Source organism: Homo sapiens, chromosome 19 (genome assembly GCF_000001405.40).
Source record: "Homo sapiens chromosome 19, GRCh38.p14 Primary Assembly".
Lineage (NCBI taxonomy): Eukaryota > Metazoa > Chordata > Mammalia > Primates > Hominidae > Homo > Homo sapiens.
In genome coordinates this window covers 57679251-57694868 of record NC_000019.10, presented here as the reverse complement: position 1 = coordinate 57694868, position 15618 = coordinate 57679251, and the positions used below count along the sequence as shown (strand labels likewise).

Sequence of the window (15618 nt, the reverse complement as noted above, 5' to 3'; positions counted from 1 at the left end):
TTCCTGTCTCTTAATGTATCTGCAGTTCAGAGAGGGCAAGCAACATCCATACACGACCACAGCTGCCAAGGGTGGGAAAATATTTTAAATAGCCCATTTTCAAGGCATGATAAATCTAAGTACTGGCAGCCAGCCTGCAAATGTAACAAACCACACAGCTCATGCATCTAGAAGGTCACAATAGGTACACAGAATGTAGAGGAGGGGTCAGGCCATGAAAGGGAAGAATGTTTCATTATTGGAAATCAAAACTTAAGCAGGGAAGGGGACCGGGGTTTAACGTTATAAGGGGGATAATGAAACTTAGACGACATCTGGGAAGACTGTAACCTCATAGTACTGGACCAATGAGTATCTTGGAGGAGGGACTTGCAAGCAAGGAGATAAATTACCTGTTGTGACTACCCTAGATATGCCTGCCTACACCAGTCCCCTGATCTTGCAAGACTGTTACTGAAAGTCTCACTTTCGCTGTTCTTCGTGTCTTTTAGTCCATTCTTTGGGTTTGGATGGGTGAGTGTGTTTCTCACACAAGCAGCTGAGGTCTACGCTGAACTGGGTTGGCTTGCCTTGGTCCCTTTACTCCTCTGACTGGAAATGCAGGAGACTCTGGACAGATTCCTCTCTGCCAAGTCTGCTAAGCCCAGAACATGAGTAACCACACTGGGACACTGCCACCTGGGGCCTCAAGTCCTTCTCCACAAACTTGCTTCCCATGGTCAGCATTGCCACTGCCTGAACACCTCCAACAGGGTCCCTGGTGTCACTCCAAACACATCGCTCTCTCACAACCCCATGCAATGATTCATTCCTGGGGTCCTTTCGGTCTTCCATCTAAACACCACCATAGGATGCTTCCTCCACACCATACTGAACTGTCACTCAGTTATCAGTCACTACTGCAGACATTGGGAGAGAAGATGAAGAACTGAGAATGTCCAGCGTGACCATCGCGCGTCTCTGTACCCATGGCTTTTGCCTCCCAACCCCTGTAGCAGGTGTCCTTAGTCCCAACTGCTCCTCCCCAGCCCTGTGTAAAATCAATGACAGACAATGAGTACTAATCCCCTAGAGTGTTCCTTCTCCCACCTGTACTTGACCAATTACTTCTGAAACTGGCTGAATCTGGCTGAGCCCTCCTATAAAGCCCATAAACATCCTATTCTCCTGCTTAGGTCAAACCTGCTCACACGTGTATTTCCAGGTTGTGCTGGGGTATGAACCAGTTCCCTCATCAGTACATCATCTAGTATGCAGTGATGTGTGTAGGGAGTAGTAGTATCACATCAGGTTGTGCCTGCCTCATCACAATTGCCCCACAAAGATAGTGCAATTGTGTTTGTGGCCCACACATCAGATTTTTTTTTTTTTTGAGACGGAGCCTTGCTCTGTTGCCCAGGCTGGGGTGCAGTGGCGTGATCTCGGATCATTGTAGCCTCCGCCTCCCAGGTTCAAGTGATTCTCCTGCCTCAGCTTCCTGAGTAGCTGGGATTACAGGTGCGCACCACCACACTTGGCTAATTTTTCTATTTTTAGTAGAGACGGGGTTTCACCATGTTGGCCAGGCTGGTCTCAAACTCCTGACCTTGTGATCTGTCCGCCTCGGCCTCCCAGTGTGCTGGGACTACAGGCGTGAGCCCCGCGCCTGGCCCCACATATCAGATTTTTGGGTATCCCTAGCATATGTCCGTCCCACAAGTCTCTGTGGAGACTGCTATGGTGTGTCAGTATCTCCATCCCGTCTCACAGGATCCTTGCGTGTTTTGCACATACCTGTGTGTGTGTTTCAGGTTTGTCATACATCTTTTCTGTTGCGGATGTGGCATACACAAATGGCTCCAGGCTGTGCTGGGGGGTGTCAGTTTCCTACATCTGTCAATGTATGCCACAGATGTATGTGTATCTTGCTAGGATGTGCTGTCACTACTGCACACCTGTCTCACAACCAGCACACACAATACCTGTAATGTTTATTTCCAGGCTGCTCATGTTGTGGTAGCAAAAGGCACACTGTGTTTCCAGGTTTGTCACCAACATAAACCTGTCCACTTGGAACAGATCTTAATCACTCATTTCATCAATATCTAGTATACAGGAAATACTGGGGAATGGGGGGCGGAGTGAGCGGTGAACACACTGAACAGAATCTGAGATTTAATAAGCCAAATCAACAATGTGGGAAGTTCGTTTTGTTTTTTTTTTTTGAGACGGAGTCTCGCTCTGTCACCCAGGCTGCAGTGCAATGGCACGATCTCGGCTCACTGCAAGCTCCGCCTCTCAGGTTCACGCCATTCTCCTGCCTCAGCCTTCCCAGTAGCTGGGACTACAGGCGCCCGCCACCATGCCCGGCTAATTTTTTGTATTTTTAGTAGAGACGGGGTTTCACCGTGGTCTCGATCTCCTGACCTCGTGATCCGTCCGCCTCGGCCTCCCAAAGTGCTGGGATTACAGGCATGAGCCACTGCGCCCAGCACAATGTGGGAAGCTAATGGACAAGCAGTTTAGCAACGTTACATAAATATTAAAGAAGTAAGCAGTACGTATAGGTTAATAAACTCAAAGACACACCTACTAAACATCAAATATATTTTGTATGCTGATAGCAATCTGTCTTAAATAAGCAGCAGTTGATACAATTCAGTACTGTATATAAAACATTTATAATTTTGTACACATACAATTTTTATTTTGTATGTTAATCTTATAGTTACGAAACGGTCTTTAAATTTTAGAAATGCAATCTGAAGACTTTATGCCTTTAACGAAATATCTGATTATAAATCCACATGGGGACAGATGAAACAAGAACAACCATGAATTGCTTGATAGTTTATGCTGAAAAAAAAAAAAGAGAATGACAAAATGATAAATCCACCACTACACTCCAGCCTGGATAACAGAACGAGACCCTGTCTCAAAAAAAAATAAAAATAAAAATAAAAAAAGATAAATGATAGAAGACTGGGAAAGGGTTCATCAGGTTTTATAATGATGTCTTCCATTGATGGACATTTGTAAATAGCCCCTACAAAAGGCAGAATATGTCCTTCTATCAGTAATTTATATGTTGCAAAGGATAAATTGAAAAGGGCTGGAAGAAACATTTGGTTTTGGGAATGTACGATGTATAAAAACATCAAAATATATATTTTAAAAATATACAACTGAATCCCTTCTAAGGTGAAAGATAAAAACCCATACAATTTAAGTCCATTATATCTCAATAAAATTGTTTAAAAAACAAATATTTAAAACTTGCCACTTCCTGATCATTTTACTGTTTTATTGTCGTCTTTATTCTTCTGGCTATCTTGGATACTCTACCAGTGTATTGGAAACAGAATACAAAGGTGTGTTACCAGAAATTCTTCCCAACTCCAGGTTCAGTGACATCAATATGGCAGTTTGAAATTGACCACGGTGGCTGGGTGCGGTGGCTCACACCTGTAATCCCAGCACTTTGGGAGGCCAAGGCAGGAGGATCACAAAGTCAGGAGTTTGAGACCAGCCTGGCCAATATGGTGAAACTGTTTCTACTAAAAATATAAAAATTAGCCGGGCATGGTGGTGGGCGCCTGTAGTCCCAGCTACTTGGGAGGCTGAGGCAGGAGAATCACTTGAACCCGGGAGGCGGAGCTTGCAGTGAGCTGAGATTACAGCACTGCACTCCAGCCTGGGTGACAGAGTGAGACTCTTGTCCCCCCCCAAAAAAAAAAGAAAAAACAAATTGACCACAGCTGGGGCTGGAAAGTAGGAAAAATGCTTAAGGCCAGGAGTTAAAAGACTAGCCTGGGAGACCCTGTCTGTGTGCGCGTGCACACACACACACATACATGCAAATTCTGGAATGGGTGGTGAGGAATTTTTAAAAGAAAATTTAATTTTACCAAAGAAGTTACACAGGTGGCAAATAAAAACATTAAAAAATGCTCAATATCAGGAAGTTTTAGGGAAATGCAATGAAAACCACAGTGAGATACCACTATTCATACATTCAAAGAGCTAAAATAAAAAAGATTAGCCACATGAAGCACTGGCAGGGATGTAAAGGAACTGGGACTCTCATACACCCTTGGTGGGACTACAATAGGAAACATCCATTTAGATCAAATTTGGCATTTCTTAAAATGTTAAACATTCACCTACATTGTAACTAAGACATTACAGTTTGAGTTATTAACACGAGGAAAATAAAACACATATCCATATAAAGAAATGAATTCAAGTATTTACAGCAGCTTTATTTGTAATATACAAAAATCTATAAATAATATAAATGTCCCTAAACACATGGATAAACACTGACTTATCCATAGAACAGCATGATACTCAGCAATACAAAGATTCATCATTTTTGAATCTCAAAATAATTATACAGCATGAAGAAAACCAGTAAGTATATATATATACACACACACATATATAAACACATATGTATATATATACGTATACGTATATGCGTATACGTGTGTGTGTGTGTGTGTGTGTGTGTGTGTATGTATCTCAGTAAAAACTCCAGAAAATGCAAACTAATTTACTGTAAAGGAAATCAGTTGAACCTGAAGAGCTGGGGAAGGGAGAAAGATTATAAAAAGATACAAGGTAAATATATGGGTGACACACAAATTCATTTTTATGGTTGTAATGATGGTTTCATGGCTTTACCAAACTGTACACTTTGGATACGTGTACTTTGTTGCATGTCAGTTATACAAATTAGACCTTCAAAAAGCTTTAAAAAGTGGCTCAAAATTAAGAGCCTAGATGTTCCTTTTTTTTTAATCAGGGTGGCAACCTGATATGGACTTCACCATCTCTCTCTCTCCTCATGCCCTGAGAGAGGCAACCTTGCCTCAGGGGCAGCAAATTTTGGCAAGCAATGAAGGCTGTTGCCACCTGAATTAATAGGAATGTTGGCTGAGTCACAAAAGCCACATCCCTGGACCGCGGAATGATCCTTCTCTCTATTCTTGTTCTCCTACCTGCATAGCAATGGCCTTGAGGTGAACAGCCCAGACAGGATACAAGGAGCCACAAAACCTTTATAGACTATTTTCTTTTTTTTTTTTGGAGACGGAGTCTCACTCTGTTGCCTGGGCTGGAGTGCAGTGGTGCAATCTCAGCTCACTGCAACTTCCGCCTTCTGGGTTCAAGCGATTCTCCTGCCTCAGCCTCCCAAGTGGCTGGGACTATAGGCGCATGCTGCCACGCCTGGCTAATTTTTTGTATTTTAGTAGACATGGGATTTCACCATGTTGCCCAGGCTGGTCTTGAACTCCTGAGCTCAGGCAATCCGCCCGCCTTGGCCTCCCAAAGTGTTAGGATTACACCATGCCCGGCCAGACTATTTTCTGATAATGATCTCAGCGATAGTAAACAGAAGATCCTGAGAATTTCTGTATGCACTGATCCTACACAACCATATTCACTGGAAAATTTGTAGATGAACTTTTAGAAGAGTCATTCCATCTAATTTACTGCAGTCTTCTCCACTCCCCATTTACCTGGAGTTTCTGTCCCAATTACTGTTGAACCTGTAATTTCACCTCCACACCTATAGTCTGACAACAAATGGCACCAGTCTACACTGACTTATATGCCATGGCACCTGGCTCCTTTGCAGGACCTGGGCAACAGATTCCCCTCACCAGTGCTAGGAATTATGTGGATCTCCTGTGGACAACTGAACAAAATTCACGTTCACAGAAGCACTGGGGATTGTCACAACTGCCTCCTTTTCATGGTGACCTCTGACCTGACAAAAATGGCACCAGGCCACAATACAGGAACACAAAGCCTGGCAGTCTTTACTTTGAGGCCTTGGGCAGCAGGCCAATTAGAGCAATACAGAACAAAGAGCTGTCTTCTGCCATCACATTGTCCCTTCTGAGTACAGAAAGTTTGAGATCTCCACAAAATCTATTCACCCCTTCATGCTGACATCACTATTCTGCTTACAAGTCATTCTATGCAATGAATAGAACACCCAAGATTAAAGGTGCGTAAATTTTTTTAAAACCTTTATAAAAACATTATAAATTAAAGCAATGTGCACCAAGCAGTTTCCAGGCTGGTGAATCAGAATGTGGAAAAATTCATTACAAGCATCATGTGAGACCGACAATGTTCCTTAAAAAAGTAATCCTTAGAAAGCTGACAGCACAACTCAGATTCTCTGGACCACAACTGGGTCAGGTGTATACTCTAAAGTCAGAGAAAAGACATGAAGACCCTACATGCTTGGGCTATTAATAATTTCCCCAAGCAAATGGGAGAGTACAGAGGTTTGCTTCTCTGAGCACTGTGGGGAAGTGACTCATGCACATGGTGTGCACCTGCCAGGTGGTAGGGGTGAAATGTGAAATGGCTTCAGCCTCAGAAATTGGCAGTGACATAAATCAGGCTATAGGCCTCGGCAGATTAGAAATTACAATGAACCTCCTCAGAGCTTCCCACATACCTGAAACTTATGAAGAATACCCCACTGTGGGTGCTCAAAGTTTAAATTTACGAAGATGGCTACCACAGTCTCCTCCAGTGCTATTATACTGAATAAAGAAATAGCACATTCCCTTCACATTTAAGGCCTTTCTTCAGTGTGAACTCTCCGATGTCGAATGAGGTTAGATTTGCGGCTAAAGGATTTCCCACATTCACTGCATTCATAAGGCCTTTCTCCAGTGTGAACTCTTTGGTGCTGAATAAGGTCTGATTTGTGGGTAAAGGGTTTCCCACATTGACTGCACTCATAAGGTCTTTCTCCAGTGTGACCTCTCTGGTGTTGAATGAGGCTAGAGCTCTGGCTAAAGGATTTCCCACATTCACTACATTCATAAGGCCTTTCTCCAGTGTGAACTCTCTGGTGTTGAATGAGGCTAGCACTTTGGCTAAAAGACTTTCCACATTCACTACATTCATAAGGCCTTTCTCCAGTATGAAGTCTCCGGTGCTGAATGAGGCCAGAGCGCTGTCTAAAAGATTTGCCACATTCACTGCACTCATAAGGTCTTGTGCCAGTATGAATTCTCCGGTGTTGAATGAGGTCAGATTTGCGGGTAAAGGATTTTCCACATTCACTGCATTCATAAGGTCTTTCTCCAGTGTGAACTCTTTGGTGTTGAATCAGGATAAATTTGCGGCTAAAGGATTTCTCACATTCACTGCACTCATAAGGCCTATCACCAGTGTGAATGCTGCGGTGTCGAATGAGGTTAGAGAATTGTCTAAAGGATTTCCCACATTCTCTGCATTCATAAGGTCTTTCTCCACTGTGAATTCTCTGGTGTTGAATGAGTTCCGATTTGCAGCTAAAAGATTTCCCACAATCACTGCACTGATAAGGCATTTCTCCAGTGTGAACTCTTCTATGTCGAATGAGATTGAAGATTTGTCTAAAGGATTTCCCACACTCACAGCACTGATAAGGCCTTTCTCCAGAGTGAACTCTCTGGTGTCGAAAAAGGCTAGAGCTTTGTCTAAAGGATTTCCCGCACTCGCCACATTCATAAGGCCTTTCTCCAGTGTGAACTCTCTGGTGTTCAATGAGGTTAGATTTGTAGCTAAAGGTTTTCCTACATTCACCACACTCATGACGCACTCCTCCAGTGTGACGTCTCTGGTGGTGAATGAATTCAGATTTATGGATAAAGGCTTTCTCACGATCACTGCATTCATAAGGCCTTTCTCCAGTGTGAATTATCTTGTGTAAGATTAGGTGGCACTTTTTGCTAAAGGATTCCTCACATTCACTACACTCAAACATCTTTTGTCCAGTGTGAATTTGCTGGTGCTGAACAAGTGTGTTCTTGCAAGTGAAGGCTTTCTCACATTTGCTACACTCATAAAGCCCTCCTTCAGAACAGACACTCTGATGCTGAACAAGTGTGTGTTTGTGGCTTGAAGCTTTTCTGTATTCACCCCACTTGTAATAACTTTTTGCATTGAAAAATGCCTGTATATGCTTGCTGCTGCTACTGTGTGGCTCCTCACCACTGGGAGTGGCTTCGTGTTGGAGTAGGTCCGTGGGGGCTGGGAAGGCCTCCCCACAGGTGAAATAATTCAACACATGGAATCTGCAGCCGGTCACAAATGTAGCCTCATCCACCTTCCTTTTCCAGGGCTCTTCTTCATTGTAATGCTTTTGATGCTGGTGAAGGTCAGCACTGAAGCAGAAGCCTCTCATGCTTGTGCTACCCAAGTATGACTTTTGCACAGGGGATGTGGTTTGGTGCTCAGCCGCAGGCAAAATGTCTTTCAAGACTGGGACACACATCTTAATCTCACTGAGGTGAGTTTTCTGGGTGGGTGTATTGCCCTTAGAAGTCCTGACCTGTATAGATACACTCTGCTCAGAAGCTATCGCCTCATTCTCCATTCCATGGCAATAACCTGAAAGCAGAGAAATGCTGATGAAATGCATGCTGACTTTCATGGAAGGAGAAAGATGTATCACAAAAATGTGTGAGACACAAGAACTGAGTGCATGGAACTGTTCTGAGAACAACGGAACTGGGGAGGAATAGGCTGGTTTGAAGTACTGGGTTTTTTAAGATTTTAGAGATGTCATCTCATCACGCAAAGGATACAAGGATGAGGTATAGCACAGGAGGAGAAGGAGGGTCTCCAACTCACTCTCTGCCAAAGCCCTCAGCAGGACTTTGTCTGCTAGTGATGTATGTGCTGTACAGAAGACTGCTGTTGTCCAGTCCTAGGAAAATCCAATTGAAACTTGATAGCTGGTGATCAAGGAGGACTATTTGAGGCTGTGTGCATACCTCACAACACAGTGAGTCAAGACTGAACAACACTGAAAAGAAGTGAGCTGTGGAGACGAACAAGTGACACACTGAGACCACGAGGGTGGAGGTAGCCAAACACTGGAAGTGACAGATGAAACAACAATTCAGCACAGTATTGTATAGGGAAGTAGAAGTAGAAACGAGTTATGGCCAGTGGCACTTGCACCAAAATACTGCTGGACACATCACAGGTTCCGGATATGATTCTAATACAACCATGATGTCATGCCCTTCCCCAGCTGCCACTCACTGGGGCCAGGCCTCCTCTGAGACCATCTTGCTTTGTTCACTCTGTGAAGCAACTAGGGCTCTCCCTGCAGCCCTCATTGTGCTACCACATAACACATGAATGATGTAAGTCTTAAGGAAAGAGAGGACAAGGGAGTGACCAGCACTCACAAAAAACACTCAAAGGAGAGTCTTGTAAAAAGAGCTCCATAGTTCACATAAGTAGTAACTATGACAATGCCTGTAATTTCTGATATAGGTGGACATAAGGAAATGGCAGCTAGAGGAAAAGGGCAGAAACTGGGCCACAAGGTACCATGAATCTGTACACAGTCATCCTGACAGGGGGAAGACAAGAAAAATAAGATCCACTAGGCTGACAGCAAGACTCCTGAGACAGAGGTAACTCTGGGGTCAAAAAGAAAAGCAGACACTCGGAGGGATGCTAGGGCCTTACCCAGGGATGTTACATGTGCAAAGTTCTCCAGCATCACATCGCAGTACAGGAACCTCTGAGACTCATCAAGGAGCTCCCACTCTTCTTGGGAGAAATAAATGGCCACATCCTCAAAGGTCATACCCTGTCACAGCAGGAATAGTTCAATCCACGATCAGACCCGGAGTTCATTATCCTCTTGCCCCCAACATCCATCCCCAGGTCACCCTATTGCCCACCTCAGCGGAGATAACCAGCCACAGTGCCACCGATGCCTACCCTCTCCCCACAGTTCCACTGATACTGAGTCCTCGAATAGCAACAACAGGCCTATGAACAGATAGATGCTATCTAAGCTCTGGGCATGGCAGGTAGGCTATACCTCTCGTTACTCACAAACACCAGCTAGAGAGAGAACTGGCCATAGACAGGGTGTGAGTGATCTGACGTTTGTCTTGTCAGGCAATACCCGTGAAGTCCCCAAGATTGATCTTCCAAGACACAACTAACACGGGCTTACCCTTTACCCCTCTGACTCCCGTTCACCCATATGGCCCTCAGTTTATTCTCTCTCTTCTCATGTACATCACTCTTTGAACCACACCTGTCTCACACAGCTGCATTCCCACAGCCACAACCTCAAAGGTCACACAGCTTTTCCATGATTGGGACAGTTCATTCCATTATGAGTATCTCTCCTAGGACCCCAAATTCATCCCTGCTGCATCTATCCCCTGTTCATCCTCCTCTCCATCTTCTCATTTGAAAGAATGCAACAGGGCCTGGTGACACTAATGCCCCCTCTCTCCTTATGGTCCCATTGGTCATTGTGTTCTCCCACAGCAACAACAGGCAGGTGGGCAAGTATCTAAGCTCTGAGCCTGCCATGCAAGGAACCATACTCTCTTGTAAGGAAACTCTCCTGGAAGACAACAGACCATGGCTCCCAAACACAACCAAGGGTCTTGGTTCATACTTCACCCTTGTGTCCTCAACACCAAGGAGCCACCACTTCACATTCTTGTCTCCATGTGCACAATACTCTACCACACTTCTCTCACAGTGTCACTCCCACAGCCACAGCTTACTTCCTGCCTCATACCATGAGCATCTCCTTGGCCTCCCAACTGGTTACTCAGCATATGGGGCCCAGAGAGTGGCTGGCAAATTCAAATACGGTTCAGTACTATCCCAGATCTCTAACTGCACCTAAAGTTAGGGGCAGCCTCAAGTCATACCATGAAGGCCTTTCTACCTGACTATTCCTTGCTTCAACCTCACCCATCAAGAATCACCTGTGGATCTCAGATAACCAAGGCCTCTTCCACTTCTGGGCTGTGATTGCTGTCCCCCAACCAGTCACAGCCTTCCTCTCTCCAACTACCACTAATTCAAGGTCCAACCCCAGTGGCTCTCTACCCCGGGCCCATCGAGTCCCACAGATGGCCAATTATGCCCCTAAGATAACGTGACAGCCTGACTGAAACTTCCCAGATCCCACCAAGAGTTAATATAAAACCCTGGTCAGTCTGCAGAGAGGTGAATACGCACCAGTCCTAGCATCATCCTGTCTAACTCCTATGCCTCTACATTCATCTCATGTCTACTCACCCCTGAGAAGCCTTGGCCACATGCTAGATCATAATCTCTGTACGACCCTCACCGTGAACACTTCTGTCCAAGACCTGTGTTGCAACACCTCACACAACCAGGGGCTCACACAGGAGACCTGTCCTTGACCTTCCCCTCCCCTTCCTTGACAACTATTATTATCATTGTGAGCAGGCTTCCCCTCTACTAAATGTGATCCACAGCTCCACCCCGGCCCACAGATTGTCCACTACCTTTTGGAAAAGTCTCCATTCTGAATCTCTCCTCACTGTTCCTGACCTACAGTTCCAGCAGCCCATGAACCATTCTCTGAAAGCTCTCATACTCTTAGCAGGTCAAAAATAAAACTTCTGATATCCCAAATGAAAACTACTCCTACTATGTACTTCCCCATCTTAGTTGATGGAGCTTCCACACTTCTAACTGCCAAAATAAAACCTTTCAGTCATCCCTGACTCCACTCTCTTTCTCAAAACTAAAAATTCAGGCAGCCCTACTTAAAAAATGAATCCAGAATCCAACTGCTTCTCGCATCTTCACAGCCACCATTTTGGCCTATCACATTCTATCACATTCACCTGGCCTATCCCAGTAGTCTCCTCCCAGGTCTCCCCACCTCATCCTTCAGTTGGCTTCCCATGCTGCAGCCACAGGGAGCCTAATAAGACCAGAACCAGATCACCTCCCTCTTCCACTCCAAACCTCCCACTGTTACTATTAAGTAACGAATAGACAACTCAACTTCTCAGGGAACCATTCCGGGTCTGACTTCTACTACACTGCTCCCTGTTCTCATGAAAAGAAAATAATTGTAGGTTCCTGAACTATCTTAGCCTCCTCTCCAAACTTAGCATATACTGGTAACTTTGCCTTGGACAACCTTCTACATCTCCTTTCCCCCGGCTGCCAACAGCTTCATATAATCTAACCTGGACTTAAGACTCTGGGCTTTGTATTTGCTCAAAGTCTCAGGGCCCAAGGCTAGACGAGTGGCGAGGCTCAGGTCGCCCAATGACCCTGGTCCAGTTTTGGAGCCAGGTGGCCTGGGCTGGCTGCACTATCTCCGCACCTCAGTTCTCAGTGCTGACTTTACCAGCTGCGTGAGCTTGGACAAGAACTCAGTCTTCCTATGCCTAACTACTATTACCTCTCTTCAGCCTGTTCTTCCCCTGAGCAACTTTTGGATAGCTTTAGGAAATCCTAGCCCAGTGTCCCTATCTGTTCACAAATCTCGAAGGCTGCCAGTGTCCTCAGAATCGTCAAATTCGTCAGGTGCAACTCTGCCTCACTCTATGTTCCTGCAGACCCGAGACGGACCCCAGGCTCCTGAATCCCCCCCAGCTTAGTCGCAGCTCCAAGTTCTGCACGCGCCAGTCAACTGCCCGTCACATTTCCGTACACACTGGGCGTCACAAACGGGTCCAATCCACAAGCGCCTTCTTGTCCAGGGTACTGGGGCCTGGGCTGCAGGGCTGTGAGCAGGCATCCCTCACTGGGCCTTAAGGCTTCTGCTGGGGGAGGTAGGCGAGACCCGGAGGACGCACAACTCACCTGAGCCGAGTCCCTCAGCGCGACTGCCGCCATTGAGCTCCGTGGACTAGGCGGGGAGCGGCGGCCGACCGGGGCGGGCATTCGAACACAACAGTCCCTATCCCGGGCCTGGCGCAGCTCACCCGAGGTGGTGTCGCAGAACCTCTGGCCCACTTTCGCGACTTCTCTGTCCCGTCCCTCAGTCGCGACCTCCACTGCAGAAACTGGCGGGCTGGACAAACAGGACAGAGGCCAAAATGACCGCCACGAGGAGGACGCCGGAAGTTCCGGCCCGTCGCGCTGCGCGTGCGCGGAAGTGTTGCTATCCTGGGCTGTCATTGGCTCAACTCCGCCGCCGTTTTGCGCTCTGCACTCTGGATAATGTAGTTTCCAAAACTCCACGGAGCTCTTCGGAGTGTGTCCACTGCTTTGACCTCTGCGAACTTGTATTCTGAGGTGCTGTGCCCCGTGCAGGGAAATGGCGACTTCGGCCTCTAGGGGAGAAGGAGGTATTTACTCCTTCTTAAAGGGGCTTTTCCCAGATTTCTGGGAAGTGTTTTCCGTAACTGATCACTTAAGTGTTTAGAGACATTATTTCAGACTCCACGAAGCTCAGGGTGCCCCTAGAGGCAAACAAATATTATTTCAGGGGGTTGGGCGCGGTGGCTCACGCCTGTAATCCCAGCACTTTAGAAGGCCGAGGCGGGCGGATCACCTGAGGTCAGAAGTTCGAGACCAGGCTGGCCAACATGGCGGAACCCCATCTCTACTAAAAATACAAAAATTAGTCGGGCGGGCCGGGCGCAGTGGTTCACGCCTGTAATCCCAGCACTTTGGGAGGCCAAGGTGGGTGGATCACGCGATCAGGAGTTCGAGACCAGCCTGGCCAACATGGTGAAACCCTGTCTCTACTAAAAATACAAAAATTAGCCGGGCATGGTGGCGAGCGCCTGTAATCCCAGTACTTGGGAGGCTGAGGCAGGAGAATCGTTTGAACCTGGGAGGCAGAGGTTGCAGTGAGTCGAGATCACGCCATTGCACTCCAGCCTGGGCGACAGGGGGAGACTCCGTCTCCAAAAAAAAAAAAAGAAAAAAAAAATTTGGATTTTGGAGCATTTTGGATTTTAGATTTTTGGCTCAGGGATATTCAACCTGTATTTTGTTCTCATTAAATAGGTTCCTCTTTCACTTTGTTATTGTTTGATATACTAAAGTTTTAATTTTCATGAAGTCTAATTGGTCTATTTTTCTTTTGTCACATGTGTATTTGGTGTCAAATCCAAGAAATTATGGCCAAATTCAATGTCATAAAACTTTCACCCTATATTTTCTTTTAAGTGTTTTATAGTTTTGGGTCTTATGTTTAGGTTTTTAGTCCATTTTGAGTTCATTTGTGTTTTTGGTGTTAGGTAAGGGTTCACCTTCATTCCTTAGCATGTGAATATTTCATTTTCCCAGCATCATTTGCTGAAAAGATCATCGTTTCCCCATTGAGTGGTCTTGGTAGCCTTGTTGAGATCATTTGACCATATACATTACTATTGCAAATGATATTGTTTTCTTAATTTCCTTTTCAGATTTTTCATTGTTAGTGTATGGAAGGGCATATGAGTTTTACATGTTGACTTTTGCATGTTGACTTTGAATTCAGCTACACAGGTGAATTTGTTTATCAGTTCTTTTTTTTTTTTTTTTTCCCAGACGGAGTCTCACTCTGTTGCCCAGGCTAGAGTGCAATGGCTTGATCTTGGCTCACCACAAGTTCCACCTCCCAGGTTCAAGCAATTCTTCTGCCTCAGCCTCCCAAGTGGCTGGCACTACAGGCGCCAGCACCATGCCCGGCTAATTTCTGTATTTTCAGTAGAGCGAGGGTTTTACCATGTTGGCCAGGCTGGTCTTGAACTCCTGACCTCAGGTGAGCCACTGCGCCTGGGCTTTTTTGTTTTTGTTCTTGAGACAGTGTCTTGCTCTGTCTCCCAGGGTGGAGTGCAGTGGCGCGATCTCAGCTCACTGCAACCTCTGCCTCCCGGGTTCAAGCGATTCTCCTGCCTCAGCCTCCTGAGTAGCTGGGGTTACAAGCATACACCACCATGCCCAGCTAATTTTTGTATGTTTAAATTAATCAAAGTTGCCAGCAAAAAAAAAAAAAAATATTAATTCCTCCCTTAGAAGTTACAATAAACATCTTTTTAAAATTTTTTTGAGCCTGTCACCCAGGCTGGAGTGCGGTGGTCTGTTCTCAGCTCACTGCAACCTCTGCCTCCCAGGTTCAAGTGATCCTCTCATCTCAGCCTCCCAAATAGCTGGGATTACAGGCGCATGTCGCCAAACCTAGCTAATTGTTTTTTTGTATTTTTTGTACAGATGAGGTTTTGCCTTGGTGCTCAGGCTGGTCTCAAACTCCTGGACTCAAGTGATCTGCCCGCCTCAGCCTGACAAAGTGCTGGGATTACAGGCATGAGACACTGTGCCCAGCCTAAACATCTTTAATCTAATTCGACCTTCAAATAACTACTGGATTGCTTCACATGTAATGCAGGGACCCTGTAACAGGACCTTTGGGGATGAATTCTTTAGTATTTGTGTGAGAAAAGCTTTATTCTCCTCCACCTTTGAAAGATAACATTGCTGGATATAGATGTTAGGGTGGGGTTTTATTTTTTGTACTAAATTTTGAACTTTCACTCCATTCCCTTCTTGATTATCTGGTTTCTGACAAGAATTCTACTCTAAATCTCATCCTTGTTCCTCAGCAGGTAAAGTGCCCTCTCCCACCTCCATCTTCTTTCAAGAATTTCTCTATCTTTGGCCTTCTGTAGTTTGAATATGATGTACCTAGTTGTAGGTTTTTGGTATTTACACTGCTTCCTCTTCTCTGAGATTTCTGGATCTGTGGTTTGGTGTCTATGATTAATTTTGGACCTCCAAGTGGAGGTTGCAGTGAGCCAAGATCACACCACGGCACTCCAGTCTGAGCGACAGATCAAGACTCTGACTCAGAAAAAAAAAAAAAAG

General features: G+C 45.5%; 1 protein-coding gene across 3 annotated transcripts, besides 2 other annotated features; it reads right to left on the bottom strand.

Moving 5' to 3' along the window:
* ZNF551 (zinc finger protein 551) lies at positions 4221-12892 on the bottom strand. Of its 3 annotated transcripts, none has more exons than NM_138347.5 (3): positions 12625-12892; positions 9484-9607; positions 4221-8388 (listed from the first exon to the last, which is right to left on the bottom strand). In NM_138347.5, the coding sequence occupies exons 1-3, from the start codon at positions 12703-12705 to the stop codon at positions 6581-6583; spliced, it is 2013 nt and encodes a 670-aa protein (NP_612356.2). In that variant the 5' UTR covers positions 12706-12892; the 3' UTR covers positions 4221-6580. The 3 variants fall into 3 exon arrangements, 2 of the variants coding, with proteins under 2 accessions (NP_612356.2, NP_001257867.1); NM_001270938.2 differs by having other exon boundaries at positions 12747-12892; NR_073102.2 differs by lacking the exon at positions 9484-9607.
* Positions 12452-12521: a silencer, noted in NCBI's record as "silent region_11079". NCBI's record gives its function as "represses an Ori minimal core promoter by ATAC-STARR-seq in GM12878 lymphoblastoid cells {active_cell/tissue: GM12878}" and the evidence as "EXISTENCE:reporter gene assay evidence [ECO:0000049][PMID:35858748]".
* Positions 12577-13200: an enhancer, noted in NCBI's record as "NANOG-H3K27ac-H3K4me1 hESC enhancer chr19:58193037-58193660 (GRCh37/hg19 assembly coordinates)". NCBI's record gives its function as "activates a minimal SCP1, AML or CMV promoter by ChIP-STARR-seq in primed H9 embryonic stem cells {active_cell/tissue: H9 hESC(primed)}" and the evidence as "EXISTENCE:reporter gene assay evidence [ECO:0000049][PMID:30033119]".